At 38.1% G+C, this 27,129-nt stretch overlaps 1 protein-coding gene across 25 annotated transcripts in view; it reads left to right on the top strand.

The window, feature by feature from the left end:
- ITSN2 (intersectin 2) overlaps positions 1–27,129 on the top strand; it is a 158,505-nt gene that overhangs the window by 110,492 nt on the left and 20,884 nt on the right. For 17 of the 25 annotated variants that reach the window (XM_047444586.1, XM_047444582.1, NM_001348182.2 and 14 more), the window contains 4 exons: positions 1,995–2,040; positions 2,127–2,248; positions 3,984–4,080; positions 4,557–4,748. In XM_047444586.1, the coding sequence (XP_047300542.1) occupies positions 1,995–2,040; positions 2,127–2,248; positions 3,984–4,080; positions 4,557–4,748 (457 nt within the window). Of the gene's footprint in view, positions 1–1,994; positions 2,041–2,126; positions 2,249–3,983; positions 4,081–4,556; positions 4,749–8,670; positions 11,945–27,129 lie in introns of those variants that run through there. The other 8 variants (XM_047444590.1, XM_047444591.1, NM_001348186.2 and 5 more) reach the window with 1 other exon arrangement.

Raw genomic sequence — 27,129 nt, 5'->3', positions numbered from 1 at the left:
TTTCTCATGTCTGTTTCTGTATTCAGTCGGTGACATTTTTTTTTTCGGTTGAAGTATAAAAAAATTCATCCTCACACATACATGAGAGAAAATGAAGAAGTATTTTAATAGCATTTGCAGATATCTACCAATGTTCTTTTTTATTCTACCACACTAAAACTTGACAAATGCTGAATCGTTATAGGTTAGTTGCAACATGGAATCTGAAGCCCTATCGGTGAACAGTTCTTACTGTTACATTAAAATTCACTAGTCTGTTTTGCATGTTGAGTGGATCTTTTACCCGTGCATGATGTGATAACATTATTTGTTGTTTATTTGGAAAATATTGAATCACTGAGTTATGCAGATATTCCCTGTGTGGACACATTTCATTACACAGTATCTGAAAAATCGTATGTGTTAATACCACCACTCATCAGAAAAGTTTTTCAATACTAGGAAACTGTCAGACTCATAGTGGTAGGTACAAATTTTCTAAAATTTTAATTTTCCCTGGAAATCTTGAATTTTATCATTGGCAAAAAATCCTGCCAGCTGTTTTCCTTGAAGGGACAGGCTTACTTCATTTTTAAGAAAATGTTCGCTAAATCCCAAGTCTAAATAGTTTTTCTGTTGGTTCTTTGAAGTAAAAATGTTGTTCCATGAAAAACCTAGTTGAGTGGACAATTTAGTCACACAAATACTTTCCTTAAGACAACCGTCATACTTTAGTATGCAGCACAAATGTTTTAGGCACACTTCTGTTTAGTCACACAGAACTTTTAAAAGGTATGGACTTGAAGATTAAGATTTAATAAAATTTTTGCTGTTTCATTAAAGACATTATTAAGTGAAACTGGCTTTGTTTTACTGTGAGTGCATGGCGGTGAAGAACACTACCATACTTCAGTGTCATTTGGTGCCACTGCCATGATTCACACTAAAGCACCAATGATTTTACCCACCACTGTAAATGTCAACACAGTGAAGAAGACAAATAATGTCTTAGTATTTTTATGAAGATAGTTTTTATCCCACAGACCCCTGAAAGAGGCTCAAGGACTATTTCCAGGTTCTACAAACCACATGCTGAGAGCCATTGGTGTAGTAGAATCAGACTGCCTGGGTTGACTCTTAGCTGTAACACTTAGAGCCTGGGTGACCTTGGACAAGTTACTGTACCTTTCTGTGCCTCAGTTTCCTTCTCTGTAAAATGGGGATAATCATAATTACTTAATAGTGTTATTGTGAAAATTAAATAGCAGAATATATGGAACCTCTTAGAGCAGTGTCTGTTATACAGTACTCAGAAAATGTTAGCTTTTAACTACCATCCACTCTGCTTAATACTTGTACTGCAGCTATGTTCACTAACAGAACAAAATTCTTTTTAATCCCATCCCTTTTGTTGTTCAAATTCCTATAAAGAGGAAATGTGGTTGGGCCAGTTTATCCTTTAAAGTGAAACAGAAGTAATAGTTGCTACACAGGATAGGGATTTTTTGTTCTTAGGTCAGATTCAGTCAGTTTGGGGGGAGGATGGTAAAATAAATAAAAATAAAAACATTGTCTCCTGTTCATCAAGATCCATAGATAAGTCAGGATCCCTTAGAGAAAGCAGGAGCAAAATAACGTATACCTTGACATATCCAGGACACATATGTTGTGCATAGTGGGCATTGGTGCTAACGCCATTGATAAATGGAGTGCATTTGGCCTGGAGGGTCATGTTTAATATTTAGGTTTCAGAAAACGAGCTCTTCCTGTTGAGTCAATGGTTGACGATGACAGCCACTCGTATATAATGTATTACATTAGCAGACCAGATCTCCTCATAAGTGTTGGATTTTTCACTTATTTGTTAATACTGCATGAGGTTCATTGTCATTTTCATCTTCATTTAAAGAGAAAAGAATCCTGGGAATTTGAAATCTCTAATTCCCATTAACCTTTATACTTTTACATTTGGATTGTTGGAAATAATAAAACAACACGGTATCTTTTCCTTGTAGAGTTTTGGGAGTGCTAGCAAGTCTGGAGCATCAAATAAAAAACCTGGTACGTATAGTAGTGATCTTAAAAAATTACTAACGTGTTTGCTCTGTCGCAATCTTGAATTCATAGTTTCTTCTTTGTCTTTTCAGAGATTGCTCAGGTAACTTCAGCATATGTTGCTTCTGGTTCTGAACAACTTAGCCTTGCACCAGGACAGTTAATATTAATTCTAAAGAAAAATACAAGTGGGTGGTGGCAAGGAGAGTTACAGGTAATATTCTTTAAATAGCATCTATAAATTTTATTATAAAAGTACTGCATGCTCCATAAAAAAGATAAAATTAATAAAAATTTTTAGATCACCCATAATCATTCCACTTAGAGGTAATCAATATCAATATTTTACTGCATTATATTTCCTTTAGTCTCTTGTGTGTACATTTTTAGCACAGTTGAGTTGATGTTATAAGTAACAATTTAAGGAATAATTTTCTCCAAAGACATAATTGTTTTCCAATAATGCATTCCTTTATAATTCACAGATCATGTTCTTAAAGAAACAGCATCATCTTTCCCTGGGATAGTCCCAGGCTTGCAGTATAGCCTCTAGGAGAAAGACATAATCTAGATGGTGTGCTGAGAAAATACTACTAATTGGGCTGTCCGCTAGTGGTCTTAGGTTTTTGAAACAGCAGTGCAATTAAAGACAATACAGACATAGATGAACCTTTTTTTTTTCCCTAAAACGTTAATAGATGGTTATTGCATATGTTTTGATACAGGAAAAGGGTTCTTCTCTCACTTCTATTATTTCCTTACTAGTTAAAACTAAAAAGCATTTTAGGGATTAAAAGATGACAAGAGATATAATAGCTATATTTTTATATGAGTGATATATAATTGTAGTATGGAGGATAAACATAGCTTCATTCTTGCAAATCAGGAGTCTTAGGATTCCTGAAGAAAAATGGGGGTTCAAATTTAATACCTTCTTGAATAACCCCCTGAAATTCCACCTTCTGATTTACTTTGAAGATGGACCGAACTAAGTGGGAAACATGACTCTTTACAAATTTTACTTCTGACCTCCTGATTAATGATTAACAAAGCTCCAAGAAGTATTTGTAGTCGGCTGCACCATTTTAAGGGTTAGGAGAACTCTAGAAATGTCTTTTTAGAATATAAATATTTTTGTGAAATATTCCGAGAACTCTGAGCCTGAAAGACCTCCACATAGACTTCTTCAGATGCTGTTTTCAGCAGTAGTTTGAGATGCATGTTTTAGTGTGTCTTCCAGTTGTTTAATGTTTACTTGAAAGGCTAATGCTGAGTTCGAGGCCCCCAAGATCATGCTCATATTTGAAACCAATTCCAAATTTGGGGGTCTTCAAGACTACTCTCAAGTTCTGTAAGTCACTAGAAGGACTTTACAGAACTCACTACAGCTATTACACTCATGTTGCAGTTTATTGCAATGAAAGGATACAGATTAAAGTCAGCCAAGGGAAGAGACACATGGGGCAGAGTGCAGTAGAGTTCCAAAAACAGAGCTTCCAGTTGTCCTCTCCTGGCAGAGTCATGAACAGTATTAACTCCTCCTGGCAATGATGTGTGACAATACACACAGAGTATTGCCAGTCAGCAAAGCCTTGGTGTGCAGTTTTGACTGGGGTTCCTCACATAGATACAGTTGATTGCCCGTTTTTCTGAACTCAGTCTCCATCCCCTACCAAGGTAGAGCTGATACTGCATGACCCAAAGCACATCACATTGTTAGATTTGGCATGACCCAGTACCCACAGGTAAACTAAGACACTCTGACCAGTCAGGATAGTCCAAGGATTTAGAGATTACTTTCCAGGAGCTGAGGGCAAAAACCAGACCTCTCTTTAGGCAAAATTAAATTATTTACTACACATTTATGGTTTTTCTAATTTTTAAGTTATGTCTCAATGATTGTTTTTAATCTCATCTTTCAATTATGTATTTCTTTTGCTAATTTTTAGGCCAGAGGAAAAAAGCGACAGAAAGGATGGTTTCCTGCCAGTCATGTTAAACTTTTGGGTCCAAGTAGTGAAAGAGCCACACCTGCCTTTCATCCTGGTATGGAAGTGGGTTAATTTGTATTTCATTTTAGAGGAGTTTGTTAAAACTCAGCAACTTCTTAGATTAGCTCAATCTTTGGAAAACATTAAAAATGTGTTCTTTCCTTATGTCTGCTTAAAAGGGACATGCCACTGAGAATTTCCTTTCTGAAAAGTTCAGTGTAGGAACAGCCAGCTTATTCACTGATACTTGAACCACTTCGACTCTTTGAAATCTTTCAATGTGAAATTGTTACACCATCATACTTAAAGTGAAGTACTTCACTTGGATTGTTAACTGCAGTTGGGAAATTCTTGTTTTTGTAAGACCAGGAATAGGGGAAGGAGGGTGAGAAAGAGCAGTTCAAGGGAAATTTTAGCCTAATTTTAATATTTAATATTAAAATAATTTAAATCCTAGGGAGATTACAAATGATTGACCCTTGCAGGAATAATTAATTTGTTTAATGTGTTATTTTGTTATTCTTGTGATAGTATGTCAGGTGATTGCTATGTATGACTATGCAGCAAATAATGAAGATGAGCTCAGTTTCTCCAAGGGACAACTCATTAATGTTATGAACAAAGATGATCCTGATTGGTGGCAAGGAGAGATCAACGGGGTGACTGGTCTCTTTCCTTCAAACTACGTTAAGATGACGACAGACTCAGATCCAAGTCAACAGTGTGAGTAATATTAAATTATTTTTCTCTCACCTAGTGTGAAACTTCAATATACAGCACTGCATTTATTCCTTTTCTGGATTAGATCTTAAACTCAGCACTCACAGCAAATGTAGATTAGTGTTTAAAGTGAGAAGAAACAAAAGGAAACTTTTTACAAGGTCAGAAGTTATACAGCTTTATTTTAAATACTTGCTAGCTCCAGACTTTCGTATTAGACTTAATCTGAGAGTATATAATTTTTCCTATGAGTTCTTTGGTATGACTGCCATCTATACTGCAGCTTCTTTTTACTATCATCCTCTTTTTCAGTGTCCCATGTTCTTTTTTGGTTTAATAAAAAGTAGCTAGTGGCTGGGCGCAATGGCCCACACCCATAATCCCAGCACTTTGGGAGGCCAAGGCACGCAGGATCCCTTAAGCCCAGGAATTGGAGACTAGCCTGGGCAACATGGCGAAACCCCATCTCGACAAAAAATAGCAAAATTAGCTGGGTGTGGTGGCACGTGCTTGTAGTTTCAGCTACTTGGGAGGCTGAGGTGGGAGATCTCTTGAACCCGGGAGGTTAAGAGTGCAGTAAGTCATGATCACACACACTGCACTCCAGCATGGGCAACAAGGTGAAACCCTGTCTCAAGAGAAAAAAAAAAAAAAGTAGCCAGCAATTACCCTATTCACCTATTCAAAATTACTCTTTTAGTGTACAGAAGCCATTACATTTCTAACCTTCTCATTTATTTCTCGCTGTTTACATATCATCCATGTTGGAAGAAAATTAAAAATTAAATATTTGACTGTTGCAAAATTCTTGTCAGGTGATTCTTTAGATAGTCACCTTTTTCCACAAGGGATGTATCAATCAAGGTCTATTTCATTATTTTCAGAACAAGGGTCCAGATCTCGAAGTGTGAAGTTTGGTACTATATAAAATTATCTCTCTGTATTTATCTAGCCGTTCTTTTGGTTGACAGTAAATATAGCATTAGTAATAAATTAGGGAATGAATAGTACTTGGAAATAACTTTTTACCTTTATGAAATGATTGTCACTTTTTCCCACTCTTTTAATTTTTAGTTTTATTTTTAAAATATCTCATGATATATCTCTTATGAAATTTAAAATACTTAGCCTTTCATTTAAATTCAGTTGCTGAGAATATATAAAAGGTAACCCAAACAAAACTCAGATACACTTATGATTCAGTATAAGGATTATGAATTTATACCATATCTATAATTTTGTGCATTCTCACTTTAGAGCTTATAAAGATAGTTCTGACCCTGGGAGAAACCTTCCCTTTACATAAAGCAACTAAGTTTCCCAACTTGGAGATGGGAGGAATCCAGTTTTTTGTGATTTGAATAGTCCCAAAAATATTGGAGGGTTTCAGAAGTGATAAAGAAAATTGTAACTTGGGTTGCCTAATAAATGATCATTTTTAAGCTCTGCTGATGGTTTGGCAGTTCACAATGATTAATTAGAAACCAGTTTATCTAACTAGCTGTGGCATCTTTCTTGGTGTTGAGAATGGAAAAGACTTTTCAGACCTACTGGGTTTGGAAGATCTTTGGCTAGTGATCCCTGAAGGCATGCCGGTGTGTCAGTACATTTGGCTTCTATAGCATCTATGATCTAAAGTGATGGTTTTCTGAATATGTTGTTGTGGTTTGAAACACTTTTTCCAATTAAGCCTCATAGAATAGGGAATATAAAGAACAGATAAAAGCTGTTTGAAAGGAAGGACAGGACCATGGCCCCAGGTCTTATACCTTTCCCCCGCCTATTTTATGAAGGTCCTTTCAGTTTCCCCTCTGCAGATAATTTAAAAATTACTCTAGAGAAATCTACTTCAAGGCAGTAACAGTCTCCTAGAAAAGTAACTTTCCCAGAGAGTTAATTGAGTGACAATTTTTTATTCCAAAAAGAAGCAGCATAGTTTCTGGTTGTCAGTAAATGTTTAATACACTAATGATACAGAAAATAGATTGATATCATCTGTTAGTTATTATTCAAGGACACATTTGTCATGCAAATTACTTTTGCCCAGAAAATGCTTCGTCTGCTATTTTAGTATAGGTGGAACTGGCAGAGCCTTAGTCTGCCTGTAGTTGAGAGAGATACCCAATCTAAACAGCACTATCCAGTAGAATTTTATGCAATACAGAAAACAGTCTATATCTCCACTCTCCAATACAGCGGCCACTAGTCACTTTTGATTATTTGGAGTGTGGCTAATACGACTGAGAAACTCAATTTTTAATTTAATTTAACTTTAATTTTAAGCTAAATAGCCACTTGTGGCCTGTGGCTCCTGTATTAGACAGCATGCCTCTAGAAGACAACCAATTGTAATGCAAGCCCTCCCTGAAATAAAACATGGAAATAGCAGGGCTGGGCACAGTGGCGCACACCTATAATCCCAACACTTTGGGAGGCCGAGGCAGGAAGACTGATCGTCAATATAGGGAGACCTCATCTCTACAGAAAAATTTTTAAAATTAGCTGAGTGTGGTGGCATATCCCTATAGTCCCAGCAGCCTGGGAGGCTGAGGTGGGAGGCTGCAGTGAGCCATGGTCATGCCACTGTACTCCAGCCTGGGTAACAGAGTGAGACCCTGTCTCAAAACAAACAAGGAAATATTGAAAGATTAAAATAAGAAGAAAAAGAATAATCGTCTTTCGGTCATTATTGACCTACGCAATGATTTTATAGCTCCTATGTGTTTCAGGTTTTACTCTTTTGGGGGGTTTTGGATTCTATGTTAACATTCTTCCCACTGTTCATTTAAGAAATTCATCATTTGGTATTACTTGAGTGTCTACTCTGTACTGACTAGGAGTACTGGGAATACAAACAAGACAAGACAATCCATTCTCTGAAGTAGCTTTAGAGGTTAGTGGGGAACAACATTCAGATAAATATAACAATTGCTGCAATGAATATTTATACAAATATGTTTTGGAAAAAGACCCCCTAAATCTTTGTGGAGAAAGAAGGCATGTTGTGAAAGATACAACAGAAGATATTTGAGCTGGTACATGAAGGATAAGTACTAATTGTTTGCTGGAAGGGCAAATGTTGGGGATGCAAGGAGGAACTCATCATTTTCTTGGTCATTTTACATACTGACAGCTGGGAAAACAAAATGTTCAAGAGGTTATTTTATAAAATAAGAGTAGTTTCGAATTTCTCTTTGTTATAAAGTTATTACCAGTAACTTACCTATTACCTTGTTTCTGGCGGGTATATGTGGGTTTTTTTTAGTTTAATCAGATCTAAAAACTGAATACTTTTATTGTTTTGCCTAAATGAATGGCTAAAGGCTTGTCATCTATCCTGGAATAAAAGGGCTCTCAATTCTGTAATTCTAAGGATAAATTCTAAAGAGGTTCCTCTGAGATGGTTTATTGTTTCTATAAAACAACTGTTTAAATTATCTAGGAAAGTGAGGCGTACCGATTTTGTTTACTTGAAGTAATTATTTATCAGAAATTGAAGAATCATAATTGCTTTTTCAAAGAAGATGAAGATTAATGTTAATTGTGTTGGTAGCTATGAACTCACATTGTTTATATAAACCTATAATTTTAATAGGATATGGTTCAGAAAATGCTTAATCCTTAAAGTCAGGAATAGATACGAGATCCTTGTTGTACCTACCCAGCTTTTTATAGATGAATCACCTGTTTGTAGTTCTTGTAATAGTCAATGAAAGCTAGTTAAATTATAGATTACCATTTGTGTTTCTTTGGCCCTTTTAAGTATTATTTTTCATTTTGTTACATAATTAGAACTTTTTTTAAGATAGAGAATTTTAACAGTTCAAATTTGTTTAGTTGATGTTGCATGTTGTTACTAGTCAAATTTTATCTCACCCACCTAATTTGCATTATGTTCATTTTATTCCTCATTTTCTTTTTTTAGGACCCAATGTTGTCTTCCAGTTGTGAAAGCACCCCAGAGACCCACTATCCAAGTTTCACTCTAGCGTGGAGGCAGGGCAGGCAGCCCTGATCAAATATCTCCTACACAATTCGTTTACTTCGTTTGAATGTTAGAGCCACTTGTGATTATTTTTTTGTGTTTCTAACTTACAGTTTAAATTTATTTGTAAAAAGTTAAAGGATAGTGGGTCTTTGTGTGGCTTTCCCTGCTGTTCACTCTGGCATCTTTAGCATTTTTCTTCTTTTTTAATTTGATAATTGTAGGTCATTAGCATGCATATTGAGTTTGCCCTTATGTGGTGGGAGTTCAAACACACAAAGACCCACTATTTGCACAAACTATTCTTACTGGTTTGGAATAGGCTGCCATGCTTTTTTAATGTTATTGCAACATGTGTATTCATTTACAGAATTCAGATAAAATTTGCTTATGTTCTGCTATTATGTTTGATCTAATCCTAATCACAGTGAGCTCTTAATTAGCTCAATATGTGGTTTGCCCTCAAGTGTGCACTGTTTATTACTTTGTAATATGCCACTATGAGTACTGACATTTAGATTTGTTTAAAGGCCAAGAACTGGAAACAGCCATGCCCTGTTTTCTGTGTATTTGGGATGGGAATAACAACATTTTGGGGGAGCTTTTTAAATCTCAGAGAAGAGGAAAGTGGCCTGCTCTGGCAGGTATGTGCAGTGTTTCATTTGTTCCAGTCCCAAGAATGAGCACTGTCCTATGGTAGTTCGCTTAGGATCTTTATGTGCTCTGGGCTAATGAAGGTACTGCATCATGTGCTGCAGCGTGTGTATTCTTTTTCGATGACCTATAAAGGGATTATTTTTGAGGAATGAAAGGCTCCCATCATTGACTGTGAGATGGGAAAAACCTTTCCTAGCTTAGAGCATTTATATCTTAATCCATTTTAAAGTCAGAGTTCATTGTTACCTGTTTTAATCAGGTGACTACATGTCCCAGTATACAAAGGGGCACTGGTTGACATTCTTCTTAATGTATTTAGTAAATATCATAAGAAATCCTTTAAGAGTTTAAATGTCCCCAAAACAGACATGTGGGCTCTAGTCAAGAATGAATTAGAGTGAAGGAAAGCTGTGTAACACCTGGCATTCCTCTGTGTTCATGGAGCTTCTTTGAGGCTCTAAGATTGATTTTACCATCAGACTTCTCTAATACCTGTTCTTCAACCATATTGGCTACTTTGACATAAGAATTTACTTCTTTTCCTGGAATGGAAAACACTTTAAAAAATAATAACAAACATTATTATAAACTAATATATGTGAGAGTACTTAGTTGATACAAAAAGGAGTTTTAGTAGACAGTATTATACTATATTTGAAAATCAAGGAGAATTTTATGCAACTTAAAATGTTTACAAACTGCAGTGCAATCTACTGTTTGTGAATGTCAAAGTATCAGGAAAAGTGTATATACAATCACAGAGTCATATTTCCTCACAAAGTTATTTACAAAGAGTGAAATATGTTTTTGTACCTCTCAGTTTCAGTTAGAGGCATATTTTGTGCAATATTTATGTTAATGTGCCTATACATTATGAATGAATTATTTCAGTCATACATTGCCTAAATCATAACTTTATGATGCTTGGGAAAGAATCAACAGTTAAAACTTCATAAAGTTATAATGTCTGTGTTCCAAAATACATCACATTATTAGGATGTAGGGAGATAAGTATGTGTGCTCCCTAGGGTGGCAATTTCTAGTTACTAGACCACCTCTATTTTTAGCATTTGGCATCCTCATGATACTTTTATAAATATGACATTAATAGGAAAGCAATAATTTCATTTTACAGATAGAATAACAGATTTGCCTGCATTCACTGAAAGAGTGCAAAGACTGGGTCCTTGTGAATTCAACTGACTCTCCCAAATTGTATTAATTACCTGTTCTTGCCTTTTATTTTCTGAACTTGCTGCTTTTGCATTCTTTTGAGTTCAAAGACAGTTACTTTAAATCCATTTTTAAACCCTCGGGGTAGAAATCATACCACTGTTAATCAGCCACATTATTTGGTCTAAGGTTTTTTCTTTATAATTCTGAAACTGAGTTTATCTAATACATTGATGAATTATTTCAAACGTATTTTTATAGTTCAAATCACTTCACTTTTACACTGATAAATATAAATTACTGGGAATGACCTTCAGACAGCGTTTAGCATCTGTAACCAACCTGAAAATAATATGTTCATCAGGTACCTATGGATTAAATCATATACTGGCGTATTTAAGCTGAATGTCAGTCTGGAAAATAAATTTACTATATTAACTGAAATACCACTCTTTGTGTAGGTATTTTGTCATGTATTTAAGAAAAAGATAAAAAGAATGGAAATCATATGACATAATAACTTAAGTCTTTCTTAAAAGTGCATGCTGTCTTTTGCAATACCTCATTCAGCCAAGTATTTGTTCTCTTCCTCATTCAGTATAAGTCAGCTTTCAATTTGCTTAGAAGGCAACATTAGAAGGTTAGAGTTCATCAGAAACATAGAATTTTAAAATGTGAGTTCAACTGAATAAATTTGAATTTCTGTAGGAGGTAAAGAATCAAAATACCTGTTTAAAGATTGCAATTGCAATGTATAATAATCACTTTTAAATTATTTGATTAAACCTTTTAGGTTTTCCAGAAATGAAAAAAATCAGTTCTAAAACCAAAGCTGATTTTTAGAAAATTTGAGAATGTAAATCAGCCCTATCCATAATATAGTTTCTCTAAAACTTTATCTTAAAGAGTCATTTTAAAATAATATAACTATTAAAAATGTAACTGATATTTAAATGTTTTGAAATAAAACATTTTAAAATATAAATACTGTAGTTTAAAAGAAAGAAACTGGGGGAAAGAAAAGTAGAGAAAGAAATACCAATTCCAGTCCAAAGCTTTATTTGCCAGGTTTTCTTAGAATGACTTTTACCAGTTTATGAATTCTTGTAAACAGAATCTATAATGGAAATACTGAAAGACTTTTGCCTAAAGTGGCATTATTGAATGCTGCTGTGATGCTACTGTAATGTAATAAATTATTAAATTGTTGCAAAGTGCTGTTTTTGCCTTAAAATTTTATTTTGTGTGTCTTGAAAATTATAGTATTAAAGGTATTGAGATTGTGCAAATGCTGGGCACGCTTGGCATGAGATAATCTGTTTTTATTTTTACAAAATTGTAATATAACTATGCAAGTGTGTTTATTAAAAGAACACAAACTATATTAGTTGTATTGTGTATTTCTTTTGAAACATTCTTTAAAACTTACTTTTAATTGTTTTTATTTAGTCATGATTAAATGTCTTTGGAATGTCTCTTTTTCCTTAATGTAGTCTCATGAGAACAGGCCAGCAAATTGTTTTATATCATAGGGGGCAAAATAAATGTATAAGTGGTCAAGATGAAGATAATTTGATTGGAGATAATCATATGTATCTCAAAAGTGAAATAAAGTTTGATTTTAATACATTGTTGCTCACAAAAGTAAGGAAAACATAATCTAGGGTAATAGACTTGTGTTTTTATAAGTTTTACTGCAACTTTTTTCTAAAAAGATTGGATGGAACTTACAAATTAATACTCATTGCAAATGTAGAGTAAGACTTTTAGTACAAAATAAGAGTTTATGTAAAAGAAACAGCAGTGAATGCTTGGAGGTATCAAAGTTAAGCAGTGTTAAAGTTAATCATGTTGGTGGTCGTATAAGCCCTTGGGTGGAAAGAAAGATATGGATCTAAATCCAGTCCATCTGTCAACATCTAGCACAAACAACCTCTTTCCAAAAAGCCTTTCCTCATCTCCGGAAACTTATTCAACTAACATGTATGAAGTGTTTACATAAGGCTAAGCAGGTGCTGGGGATACAAAACTGAGTGTCAAGTGGCCATTGTCTTAGGTGGTACATAGTTCTTTGAGGGGATTAGGCCCATATGCAGATAATTATAAAACAGCATATTCAGCACAGTGATAGATATTTGCCAGGCACTTAAGGACTACAGAGAAGGAATACCAAATTCAGCCATAGATTGGTGAACGAGAGACTTGCTGGAGGAAGCAACTGCCAGGTCCATAAGATAAGTAGCAATAAGCCAGATTTGGTGGGTAGGATGGTGGAGTGTATGATAAAGACAAGAAATGGCATGGTGGGGAAGTGTAATTATAAGCATTTCAGTATCGTCAGAATGGAAATACAGAGCCAGGAACTATAAAAGTTGAGGCTTGAGAGGCAGGCCAAGGGCTAAGTCAGAAATTCTCTAGCTCAGCTGTATGTTGGAATCACTTGGGAAACTTGAAAAATCTATAGTTTCCAGGGTCCTAATTTAAATGGATTGAAGTTCGGCCTGATCGTGGGGATCTTTCAAAGCCTCCCATATGATTCTGATATGCACCCAAGGTGGAGCAAAAAATGATGAAACGGAGTTCTGAGGGAAAATTGGCAGGAACTGGAGATAGATGGAATATGAGTGTCGGTGGAAAAGTCAGTTATTTCCAGATTTGTGTCTTGAGGGACAGGATGGGATAATGGTGCCACCAACTGCAGTGAAGAATTAGAGTTGGGGGAAGAAGAGGAGTTTGGAGCACCTATGGGATGTCCACATAGAGTTGTCAAGCAGGTGGTCAGATAAGATAGACAACATCAGATGTACACCACCTGGTGGAATGACATACATATTGGTAGTTGTTGAACCAGTGAAAGTAGATGAGATTACTTGGGAAGAAGATCAGACCTCCTAGAAGATCAGCAGTTAAGGGTTGGATAGTGAAAGGAACTCACAAAGATGGGAAACAGGTTATATGAGAAAGAGATTATTTTGCTATTTTCATGATTTTTAAAAAATAATGAAATTTTGGCTCTGCAACCATCTCTCACACCAGTAAAAATAAAAGAGGAAAAGTGCTCTTTTTTGAGGACTTCTTAGTTTAGATACTTTTCTAAGGTCCTTGAATGTATTACCTCTTCATTGTTTTCTTTTTTGAGATACAGAAATTAAAACAGATTAGATAATTTGTCCAAGTGGAACCTGCTAGTAAGCGGTAGAGGTGGTCCATGGTCTGGCTCCCAAGTCCATGCTGTTAGCCTCTACACTAGTGTGCTGATATTGCCACCATCTCCTAATAATGAACTTCGGCACTACAACTGTTACTCATACCAGTGAAACAAAAACAGGATGGTGGCTCATGCCTGTAATCCCAGCACTTTTGAGAGGCCAAGGTGGGTGATTACCTGAGCCTAGGAGTTTGAGGCCAGCCTGAGCAACTTGGTGAAACCTGTCTCTACAAAAAAAAATAAAAAATAAAAGATAGATAGATAGATAGATAGCTGGGAGTGGTGCTGCTGCACGCCTGTAGTCCTAGCTACTCAGGAGGCTGAGGCAGGCAGTTCAATTGAGCCTGGGAGATCGAGGCTGCAGTGAGCTGAGATCACACCACTGCACTCCAGCCTGAGTGACAGAATGAGACCCTATGTCCAAAAAAAAAAAAAGAAAAAAAAACACAGGAAAAATCAGAGATTGCACAGGCTTTTCTCTATGTAAAAAGGACACACAGAGAAGAGTCAAGGAGTCAAAGACTGAACATAATAAACAAGGACAAGACTCTATGACAATAGTATCCAGAAGGATAAAGCTGAATGTAATCACTTTTTTTGGTAACAGCTTCATTGAGATACAATTCACTTGCCATGCAATTGGTGGTTTTTAGTGTATTAACAAAGTTGTCCAACCATTTCCACAGTCACTTATAAGACATTTTTATCACCTCAAAATGAATCTCTGTACAATTTAGCTATCACCCCCATTTCCCTAAGCCCCCCTCCAGCCTTCAGCCCTGAGCAGGCACTAATCTTTTGTCTCCATGTTTGTCTATTCTGAACATTTCATATGTATGGAATCATAAAATGTGTAGCATTTTGTGATTGGCTTATTTCACTTAGCATAATGTTTTCAAGGTTCATCCATGTAGTAGCATGTAGCTGTACATCATTCCTTTTTATGGCCAAATTAACATCCCATTGTGTGGATATGCCACGTTTTGTTCATTCATTATTTAGTGGACATTTGGGTTGTTTCAACCATTTGGCTATTGTGAATAATACTGCTGTGAACATTTGTCTACAAGTTTTTGTGTGAACATATGTCCATGTTTCTTTTGGATATATATCTAGGAGTAGAATTCCCAGGTCAAATGGCAAATCTATGTTTAATTTGTTGAGGACCTGCCTCACTGGCTGCACCATTTTCTATTTCCGCCAGCAGTGTACAGGGCTTTCTGTTACTCCACATCCTCACCGGCACTTGTTATTATCTGACTTTTATTATAGCCATCCAGTGGACATAAAGTGACATCTCACTGTGGTTTTGATTTGCATTTCCCTGATGACTAATGATATTGGGCATCTTTTCATGTGCTTGTTGGCCATTTGTATACCTCCTTTGGAGATATGTCTATTCAGATCCTTTGCCCGTTTTAAAATTATTTGTCTTCATAATCACTTTTTTAAAAGACTTCATTTTTTAGAGTAGTTTTAGGTTCACAGCAAAATTGAGAGGAAGACACAGAGATATCCCATATGTCCCTTGCCCCGACACAGGCATAGCCTCCCCCATTAACAACAACCCCCACCAGAGCAGTACATTTGTTACAATTGATGCACCTACATCATGTCATTATCAAAGTCTGTAGTTTACATTAGGGTTCAGTCTTGGTGCTGTGCATTCTGTGGGATTGTACAAATGGGTAATGACATACAGCTACCATCACAGTATCATACAGAGTATTTTCACTACCCTAAAAATCTTCTGTGCTCTACCTGTTCAGCTCTCCCTCCCTCCCATCCCCTGGCAACCACTGATCTTTTTACTGTCTCCATAGTTTTGCCCTTCCCAGAATATCATATGATTGGAATCACACAGTACATAGCCTTTTCAGATTGGCTTCTTTTACTTAGTAATAGGCATGTAAGTTTCCTCCATATCTTTTCATGGCTTGATCCTTTCGTTTTAGTGCTAAATAATATTCCGTTGTCTGGGTATACCACAGTTATCCACTCACTGAAAGATATTGTGATTCCTTCCAAGTTTTGGCAATTCTGAATGAAGCTGTTACAAATATCTGTGTGCAGGCTTTTTTGTGGACATAAGTTTTCATTTCCTTTGAATCAATACCAAGGTGTGTGATTGCTGCTGGATCATATGGTTTAAGAGTATGTTTAGTTTGTAAATGGCAAACTGTCTTCCAAAGTGGCTGTACCATTTTGCATTCCCTCCAGCAATGAATGAAAGTTCCTGTTGTTCCACATCCTTGCCAGCATTTGGTGGTGTCAGTGTTACAGATTCTGGCCATTCTAACAGGTGTGTAGTGGTATCTCATTTTTGTTTTAATTTGCATTTTCCCAACAACGTATGATGCAAAGCATCTTTTTATATGCTTATTTGCCATCTGCATATCTTTTTCCATGAGGCATCTGTTAAGGTCTTTGGCCCATTTTTTTATTTGTTTTCTTATTGTTGAACTGTTAAAAGAGTCCTTTCCATATTTTGAAAAATAGTTCTTTATCAGATACGTCTTTTGCAAATTTTTTTTCAGTCTGTGCCTTGTCTTCTCATTCTCTTGACCACATCTTTTGCAGAATGAAAGTGTTTACATTTAATGAAGTCCAGCTTATCAACTCTTTCTTTCATGGATTGTGTCTTTGGTATCATATCTAAAGAGTCATCACTAAACCCAAGGTTATCTAGATTTTCGCTTACACTATTTTCTGGGAGCTTTATAGTTTTGTGTTTCAGATTTAGGTTTGTGATGCATTTTGAGTTGATTTTTGCGAACAGTAGAGACCTGTGTCTATATTTCATTTTAAAGACAATTTCTTTTTTTTTTTTCGCATTTGGATGGCCAGTTGTTCCAGCATCATTTGTTGAAAAGAGTATCTTTGCCCCATTGTATTGCCTTTGCTCCTTTGTCAAAGGTCAGTTGACTCTATTTATATGGGTCTATTTCTGGGCTCTATTCTGTTTCATTGATCTATTTGTGTATTCTTTGGCCAGTATCACACTGGCTTGATTACTGCAGCTTTCTAGTAAGTCTTGAGGTCAGGTAGTGTCAGTTCTTCAGTTTTATTCTTCTCCTTTAATTTTTTTGTTGGCTATTCTGGGTCTTTTGCCTCTCCGTATAAACTTTTAGAATCAGTTTTAGAATCACTTTTTAAACTTTGCTTTAAAGAACAACAAATTATGAAGGACATTCTTAAGAGAGATGTTTTAAGCTTGTCAAAAGGCAAAAATCACTTACTCTTTCAAAGAGAACGATAAATGAGTGTAGTGGGAAGTATAGTGGGAGGATTGCTTTGATTCCTGTCTCAGCTAGCTCACCCCTCCGAGCCTTAGCCTGGTCTGTATAAGTGAGAATAATAATACCCACATTGCACATGAGGCTTAAGGGGTTTGTAAAGCACAAGTTTAATGTCTGACACATAATAGATACTAGAAATAACAGCTAACATTTAGTAAATATTTGCTGTGTACCAAGTCATGAACTAATCTTTGGGTTGTCTGAGTAAGTAGTAGAGTTGGAACTCAAGTCCAGATCTGACTTCAGAACTCATTCTCTTAGCCACCCCCACATGCTGCTTTCCATTAACTGGGAGCTGCTCTTAACTCCCAACCACAAAAGCAGAACAGTCATCAGTTAATTGCAAGATGGAGGGTAAAGAAAATTAACTGCTTTAAATGAATCCAAGCTGGTCAAGTTACATTCCAAGGTACCGAAGAACCTGCCACTGGGATCCCTGTGTCACCGGTGGTCATCCATTAGCCACCTGAAGTCAGAGTCAGCCAGTGCTATAGAATTTGTGTGTCCTAAACTCAGCAATTTGGGGCAAAGTCTCCAATTATGTATGTAGTCATAAACAAGTGGAAAACATGAGTTATATGAACATACCATTGGGGGAGATTAATGGTGTAATAAGCTGTTCAGTAATACTAAGAAAAAATATATATGTGCATATGAAACCCGTATTGCCCAAGGACAGAACTGTAGTAATCAGTGCACTGATACAAAGTGCTACAGTGCATGGAACAGTCTCTTTGGAACTGGCTATTAGATACAAGGTCCTAATTGTGTGTGTGACAGAGTAGAAGGGTGTGTAAGGGAATAATTATATCACTTAGACATAAAAAAGAGTTAGAGTAAGGGCCTTGTTTGCTTTTTCATTGCTTTGGGCTAATTGGCATTCAGAATATTTATCCTAAACCTTTTTTGCCTTTAGAATTCAGTTCACCAAGCATAGGACCTGGTAGGTTTATACATGGAATCTCCAGTAATTGCAGTGTAAGCATCATCTTAAATGGCCTGCCATTGGAAAGTATAAGACTTGAATCAAGTTACCTAGATTTAGATATGTAGTAGCTCTAATTTATCTGGTAAGTCTCTTCACCACTAAGCTTCAGATTATCTATTTACTTATAGAGCAGGGGTCAGAGCTGTTATCAGTTATTCGGAGGATTGATCAGGGTTTGAAAATCATCATACACATATTGGTATAGTTATTTTTATTGTTAGAATTGAAAGTTCTAACATGATGAAACTACTATTTCATATCTCTTTATAATAGTCTATATCCTGCATCTCACATTAACTCCCTCAATTGAGTCATGGTACAAGTCTGGCAGGTTAGAAGGTAATGCAGATTTTAGCCTGAACTAACTGCTCTCTGGGGCCAGGTCTGCGCTTTTGTCTATCATTAGGAGGTCATTGCTGTCTTAGGCTTATGACCTTTTACAGTAGATTCAAAAGTAAAAATAAAACCAATAAAATTTGTCTTTATCTGGTTGCACTTGTCAATATAGTTGCTTTTGGAAATTCTAGAATATGACTATTTTCTGATAGGCAAATAGTTTGCTTTCTGATGGTCTGCAACATTAGAATATGATTTCAACTTCTTTCCTTTTTGTGCTTACAGGAGCAACATAGCTCCTAATGGAGTAGAACTTGACAGGCCTCAAAAAGACATGAATTTAGAAATTTGTCCAGTAATTATTTAAATTTCCAAAAGTAAAAACAAATATCTTTGTGGTGGAAGCATGCTACCCGGTACTCAATAAATATTTGCCAAGTGGATGAAAAGCTATTCTTTTACAACATAAAATATCTTGTAACTTTCTAGTGTCCTGATAAAACTTCAATAAAAAGGCAGCCTTCAGAAAATGCAGTTTATTCATCTAGATTTACTGTTAAAAATCTCATCTTTTCACTGAGCTTAACTACAGTATAACTGGAAACCATTATGTGATACTCTGGCCGCATAAGTGGGCACACAGAGAATAGCATTGTTCACCGGCACTGCTCCCCTCCAAATGGGCAAGGACTTTTGTGGGACTTGTGACATAATCTGAACAAGCACTCTCTGTGTTCGTCATCACAGATTGTCTTTTGTCCTTTACCTCCTGGAATCTGCCCAGATCTTTCCCCTCTCCTTTCTTAGGCATCTCTTGTTTGCTTCTTATTCTTGCTTGCACTGTAACTTGGAATAGTGCTTCCCAACTATGGTGCGACATACCTATGATTCATAACTTGTCTCTCAGTCTCCACATCCTCCCACAGTGTGGGGGTGGGTCTTGTGGCCCAGCCCACTACTAATTATTCCTCTGGGAACATCAACCTGATAGTAGCCATGATCTCTCATCTTTCTTCTTTGCCCACTCTTCTTGTCTACCAAAAAGGACCTACCAGGAAGTTTTCATCAATTTCTCTGACTGCCTGTAGTCAACACTGCTGTACTGTCTCCTGAAGCTCAGAGTGTATCTTCACATCACATTCCATAAATGCTTATCGAAGCCCTCCTGTGTGTCAGACACTGGGGATGTGGCAAATTATAAGACAAAAATTTCTGCCATCTTGGAGCTGGTGTTTGAGTAGGCTAAAACAGAAAACGAACAAAATGAGAATGTGAAGTGTGTAGCATCTTAGAAAAATGAAGCAGGGAAGAGGAATGGGAGTTCTGCAAGGGAGGTGGATCCAGAGGGATTTTATTTTGAATAAAATACTCAGATAAAACCTCTCTGAGATAGTGACGGCAGGCAGAGACTGGAGGGGTGTGAGGATATCTGGAGGGAGCCATGCGGATATCTGGAAGATCATTCTGGGCAGATTTTGCACCTGCAAAATCCCTGCAGCAGGAGCATCCTGTGGTGCCTGAGGAATAGTGCGGAGGCCTGTGCGGTGGGAAGAGGGAAGAGCAGGAGAGAAGGAGGAAGCGAGGGTCTGGGTGTGACCTAGGAAATGAAGGAGGTTGTTTAGGTTCTTGTGGGCTATTTATAAACTTTGGCTTTTGTTTGGAGTGAGAAGAACCCATTGGAGGGTTTTTATTATTTTTATTTTTATTTCTTTTTTTTGAGATGGAGTTTCACTCTTGTCGCCCAGGCTGGAGTGCAATGGCATGATCTCCGGTCACTGCAACCTCTGCCTCCTGGGTTCAAGCAATTCTCCAGCCTCGGCCTCCCAAGTAGATGGGATTACAAGTGCCCACCACCATGCCCAGCTAATTTTTATATTTTTAGTAGAGACGGGGTTCCACCATGTTGGCCAGGCTGGTCTCCAACTCTTGACCTCAGGTGATCCACCCACCTCGGCCTCCCAAAGTGCTGGGATTACAGGCGTGAGCCACCGCACCCAGCCAAGGGTTTTAATGAAAGGAGTGACATGATCTGGTGTGTTTTAACAGTACTGCTCTGCCTTGCCAGATTAAAGAGGGGAAGGGATCAGAAGCCAGGAGATCCATTGGAAAGCTACTTCAGTAATCCAAGCACAAGATGATGATAACTTGGATCAGAACAGCCATGGGGGACGTGTGAGAAGTGGTCTGGATGTATTGTGAAGAGGGATCCCACAGGTGGATTGAATGTGAAGTGTGAGAAGTATCAGGTGGCGTGAGCAGCTGGAGAGATGATATTGCCATCCACTGAGGTGGAAAATTATAGAGGAGCAGGTTGGGAGATGATTAGGGGTTTGGCTTTTGATGTTACTTTGATGTGCCTTTTAGACATCTGAATGGGGATACTGAGTATACAGCAGAACGTGTGAAGAAGTTCAGGGAAGATGTTCAGGCTGGAGTGTAAATTTGGGAGCCTATCAGTACATAAATAAGCCATGAGAATGAACTGGGTCACCAAGGCTCTGAGTATGTCGAGGAAAGTTCCAAGGACTGAATCTTAGGGCACTGCGACATTAGAAGTCTGGAGAGTTGAGGAGGAACGAGCAAAGGAGCCGTGGAAGGGCAGACCAGTGAGGTGGGAGGATATGAGGAGAGGAGAGGTGGTGACCTGGAAGACGAGTGAAAAAGGATCTCATGAGGATCGAGTCATCAGCAATCACAGATGTTAGCGATAGGTCAAGTAAAATAACGGAGGAGGCTACCTGGGGAGATTAGGAAGTTCTTTTTCTTTAAAGTGAAATATCTGAAAATAATGTTAAATGTATAATTTTCCAGCTACATTCAGTAAACATTTTTCTACAGTAATATTGATTCCTTGGTGTTTGTTGAAATTGGTTCTGTGGGTTCTTTGTGTTGTTGTTGAGACAGTGTCTTACTCTGTCACCCAGGCTAGAGTGCAGTGGCACAATCTTGGCTCACTACAACCTCTGCCTCCTGGGTTCAAGTGATTCTCGCACCTCAGCCTCCTGAGTAGTTGGGATTACAGGCGCCTGTCACCACACTCAGCTAATTTTTGCGTTTTTAATAGAGATGGGGTTTCGCCATGTTAGCCAGGCTGGGCTCGAACTCCTGACCTCAAGTGATCTGCCCACCTCGACCTCCCAAAGTGCTGGGATTACAGGCGTGAGTGAGCCAGCACGCCCAGCCTGGTTCTATGGAAAAAGAATGTATAGTCTCTTGTATGTGTGTTCATATGTTAACCTTGTTAATAGTGTTCAAATCTTTCATATTCTCATTAATTTTCATTGAGAGAACTATATTAAACTCTACTACGATTATAGATATGTCAGTTTTTTCTTTTTTTTGGAGGGAGGTGGGGTATGGGTCTTAGTTTTTTATTTTACACTTTGAGGCTTTCCTGTTAGTTGTTTTTTTATTTTACACTTTGAGGCTTTCCTGTTAGTTGCAAATAAGATCAGAATTATTCTTCTTCCTGGTGAATGTTTCTACCATCTCATACGGGTCCTTAAAGCCTAATTTGTCTGTTGTAATAAAACCTCCCCAGTTGCTTTTAGAATTTTTATTTGGATAGCTTTTTCTAGCCCACTACTTCCAACACTTCTATGACCTGATTTTTAATCCAGAGCCTCTCTTTTCACTGACAGATTTAAGCCATTTACATTGATTAAAACAATTTAATACTTTTATTTGTATCTATTTTATTATGTATTTTCTATTTACCAGGCATTTTCTTTGCCCCTTTTTGTTCTGCTGACACAGGGACTTCTGTCGCACTGATCAAGTTTCTTTGTTTCTTTTATTGCCCTCTACTGGTTGGGAAATTATGTAGTCTATGTCTGTTCTTTGAGTGGTTACCTTTCCATTTTTAACATACCTGTTTGCCTTTGATCAATATCTCTTCCTTCTGCTGATCAATGCAAGGAGGATGATTTATCTCTAATGATTCTCTTATGTCTTTCATGTTATTACATTTTTGTGTTTTAACTTCACCTTGTATTTATACCTGCCAACTTAGTATTATTGTTGTTTTATACAGTCAATGATTATTTTGATTTCTTACACATTTACTAGTATTTTGGCTCACCATTTCTCATATCTCTTTTCTTTTTCCTTCTTATGTAATTTCCTTCTTCCTGAAATACGTCTTTTAATAGTTTTTCCAGTCATGTCTATTAGTGGTAAATGCGCTCAGACTTTGTCTGAAAATGTGTTTATTTCTCTGTCATCTGTGATTTAGATTTTTAGCTGGACAGTTATTTTTTTCTCTGTGTTGTGTGTTATGTGCAGCCAGTCTAATTGCTGTTCATGTGGTTATTCTGATTTTTCTTTCTGACTGTTTAATCATGTTTTTTCTTCCCTCCTTGGTGTTCTGGTATGGATTTATTTTTTTCCTAATCAGAAGCCATTGTTCTGAATTTGAGGCATTGTATCATTCTTCAATTCTAGAAAAGTCTCAGCCATTATAATCTCAATATTACCTCTCTCAATTCTTTCTATTCCCTTCTCCTGGACTACCTGTCAGATGTATGTTGGGCCTTGTCATTCTGTCCTCTGTGTCTCTTAACTTCCGTTTTATGTTTTCCATCTTTTTTTTCTTTTTTTAGTGCAATGGCACGATCTTGGCTCACAACAACCTCTGCCTCCCAGGTTCAAGCAATTCTCCTGCCTCAGCCTCCTGAGTAGCTGGGATTACAGGCACCCGCCACCATGCCCCGCTAATTTTTTGTATTTTTAGTAGAGACGGTTCACCCTGTTGGCCAGGCTGGTCTTGAACTCTTGACCTCAGGTGATCCACCCGCCTTGGCCTCCCAAAGTGCTCAGATTACAGGTGTGAGCCACCATGCCCAGCCTTCCATCTCTGTTTCTTTCTGGGCTACATTCTAAATAATTCTTCACATCTGTTTTTAGGTTTACTAATTCCTAGGATGTGTTTAATCTGCTATTTAATCTATTAATTTATCATTTCCATGACAATATTTGCCATTTTTATTCTTTTTCAACTCTCCTTATTCTTTCTTTTAATAGACTACCTATGGCTTCAAGCCCTTCATTATGTGTCTTGAGTAATGTTAAACATATATATTTTACATCTCCATGTGTATTTTTGTTCTACTGTCATATGTTCTTGGTGTTCTAATCCTCATTTTTCAATTTATGGTGGATTTTTCCCGTTTTTTGTAATTTTTTTTTTTTTTTTTTTACTTTGAGCTCATCTTTAATGAGACTTGGTTTTTCTGTGGAATCTCATGGAGCCACAGTTGTGAGTGTGACCCTCCAGGCCAGTTGCACCATTCCTTTGGCCAGTCACCCTAAGGGTATCACCAGCTAGTGACCAATTTTTGTGTTGTTTTTTGTTTTTCTTTTTCTTTTTTTGAGATGGAGTCTTGCTGTATCGCCCAGGCTGGAGTGCAGTGACACGATCTCAGCTCACTGCAGCCTCTGCCTCCCAGGTTCAAGTGATTCTCCTGCCTCAGCCTCCCAAGTAGCTGGGACTACAGGCAGACGCCACCACCCCTGGCTAATTTTTGTATTTTTAATAGAGATGGGGTTTCATCTCTACTAAATGTTAGCAATAGGTCCAGTAAAATAACAGAGGAGGCTACCTGGGGAGATTAGGAAGTTCTTTTTCTTTAAAGTGAAATATCTGAAAATAATGTTAAATGTGTAATTTTCCAGCTACATTCAGTAAACATTTTTCTACAGTAATATTGATTCCTTTGTGCTCAGACCTCAAGTGAGCACCAAGAAAAACCAGAATAACCACATGAACAGCAATTAGACTGGCTGCACATAACACACAACACAGAGAAAAAATAACTGTCCAGCTAGAAATCTAATTCATGGATGACAGAGAAATAAATACATTTTCAGACAAAGTCTGAGCACATTTACCGCTAATAGAACTCCTGACCTCAAGTGATCTGCCCACCTCGGCCTCCCAAAGTGCTTGGATTACAGGTGTGAGCCACCATACCTGGCCAATTTTTGTGTTAATTCATCTGAATTCTTGAACTCCAAGTTTGTGTAAGATGCAAGCCCAGCATTTCCATTCATTACTTAACAGACAAAAAACTTTTTAATCATGTCACTCTTCTGGAGAGAGGACATTTTTCCTACTCCACCCTGTAACATTCAGTCTCCTGCCAGAGTTTCCTCTCATTGGCCAAACCCAGGCAGAGGCCAAATAGAACAGAAGCTTAGAAAAAACAGCCTGCAGGATTGGCTTTTTTGCAGCCCAGAGCAGAACAGGGAAAAGGTGAGAAATGGACCTGGGCACAAACAGGCCTAGGACCAACACAATATTCTATCCCCTAACAAATATTCCCTGACTGCAGGTAGCCAACACGCTGTGCTCAGCTTGCTATTACAGAAATGTGTTAGACACAGTCCCTGGTCTGCAGTCAGAGCCACTGACACCGTAACTACACAGATTAACAACAGCACCAGTTAGACGATGTGTAATGTTAAAAGACAGATACAAACCAGTACCATGGAAACACTGCATGTGTTCAGCGGTCACAGCTTGCTAAGGGCTACTCTATTGACAATGCAGGTATAGAGAGTGGCAAAGGGGTGTATCCTATCCATAAAACCCGAATTCCTCAGTTCATCAGGACTTTTCTCAGGACAAAAAAGATGTTACCCTCCCTCCTCTCAAAAAAAGAGGATTCTGTGGTCAAATACGTGTTGGGAACCCTGAGCTCATCAAATTTTTCTGTAGCACAGAGTTTCTCACTGCCTAATAGGCTAATGTGCACTGGGGCCCTGCGAGTGAGATATACAGCCTGCAGCATTGTCTGGATTCATCTGACCGCACAGGACAGGAGCATCAGGAGCCTATTTTGGCATTTGCTGGACTGGGGGGAGCAGAGAGCCAGGCAGCAGGCAAGAGGCAGAAGACAGAAGGAAACACCAAGAAGAGGAGAGGCTCAAGGGCTGAGAAAGGCAGACTCAAGTCTCCAAAAAAGCCTCCCATCCAAGGCGCCTGTGCTGTGGGCCGGCAGGGGAGGGTGCAAGCTCAGAAGAGGTCACTGAACTTGGCAATGCCAAGGTCATCGATACCTTCCCGAGAGCAGTGTCGGGCAGTGGGGCAGAAACCAGAATCCCGAGTGGAGATGTGACAGGGAAAGCTAGCGAGAGTTGGCCATGGGTGTAAACCCCTCTAGTGACATTTGCCAATGAGACCAAAGGCAGGCGGTGCTGAGGAGGGGGCAGGGTTGGAGAAGTGTGCTTGTTGGTTGGTTTCAAACAGTGGGATAGGAGGGACACTTAGCAATGTTTATGGGCTAAGAAGGAAATGGCGAAGAGTGAACATAGAAGCGTGAAGGAAAGGGAGGGGCCCTGGAGGAGAGGCTGACTACAGACAGTGGCTTTAGAAAGAAACAGGACCCCTCCTTCCCTAACTCAGGAAGGACACACAGGGACAAATGGACAGACAGAAGGGGAGGAAGAGAGGCCTCGTGTCTTTATTTTTTCCCTGACATCAGAGGTAAGAGCATCTGGAAGTGAGGGTAGGAGCTGGGTTGGAAACTTAAACAGAGGGTAAAAATTTAAGAGCAGGCCAGGCGTGGTGGCTCACGCCTGTAATCCCAGCACTTCGAGAGGCCGAGATGGGCAGAGCACTTGAGGCCAGTAGTTGGAGACCAGCCTGGCCAACATGGCGAAACCCCGTCTCTACTAAAGATACAAAAATTAGCTGGGTGTGGTGGGCACCTGTAGTTCCAGCTACTCGGAGACTGAGGCAGGAGAATCGCTTGAACCCGGGAGGCGGAGGTTGTAGTGAGCCGAGATCGCGCCGCTGCACTCCAGCCTGGGCCACACAGTGAGACTCCGTCTCAAAAAAAAAAAAAAAGTTGAAGAGCCGTCATGATGAAATGCAAAAGGGTCAGCTAGGCATGGCATGCCAGGGGTGTCCCCACATTATCCTGCTACAGCTAATGCAATGTATAGTCTAGTTTTAGAAACAAATATCTGAGGTTCTTGCTATTATTCCAAGGTATTATTCCAGATACAGTGGCCAATACTTGTGGTTTTTAATGTAAATCATTGTTTCCCAAGGTGTGATAGTTGTATCCTTGTGGTGCTCAACGCACTGGTACACAAAATGGACCTGTTTCATTCGAATGATTATATATTTGCTTTAATGATTATTAGAAGAAACATAATGAGCACACTTAACTTCAAACACGAGTACGTTTAGAGAAAAATATTAAGTAAATAATAATAGAGATGGAATGTGGATATGGCAAAAGTCTTGAAAGCAGAACATGAAGTTTGTAAGACAGTGGTGTGGGAGGTGGGGCAACCTTGGAAACTGGTCTGAGTTCCCTCCATCAATCACCTGGCCACACCGAGTAGCACCACTGGATCATATCAGGATCAGTGCCATTTCGCCAGGTGTCTGGTCACCAAGCCTCTCCTTGCTCCACAAAAGCCTCGTCAAGCAGACATTTGGATTAGCCTCAGTGATTTTTTTTAACACTCAGTTACCCTCTGCAGTTCCCCCTGGCAGAAGATAATAAAATACTATCTCCCTAAAAGCGTAACAATTTTGAACATGACAGTGGCATTATGATTTATTTCTTTCTTTTCTTTATTTTTCTTCTTTCTTTTTTTTCTTTCTTTCCTTTCTTTCTTTCTTTTTCTTGTTTCTTTCCTTTTTTTCCCTTCCTTCCCTTCCCTTCCTTCTTTCACTCCTTCCTTCTTCCCTCACTCCCCTCCCCTCCCCTCCCCTTCCCTTT

Source organism: Homo sapiens, chromosome 2, assembly GCF_000001405.40.
Source record: "Homo sapiens chromosome 2, GRCh38.p14 Primary Assembly".
NCBI classification, from domain to species: domain Eukaryota; kingdom Metazoa; phylum Chordata; class Mammalia; order Primates; family Hominidae; genus Homo; species Homo sapiens.
Note: the sequence above shows the minus strand (reverse complement) of the source record. Positions and strands in the feature narration are given on the sequence as shown.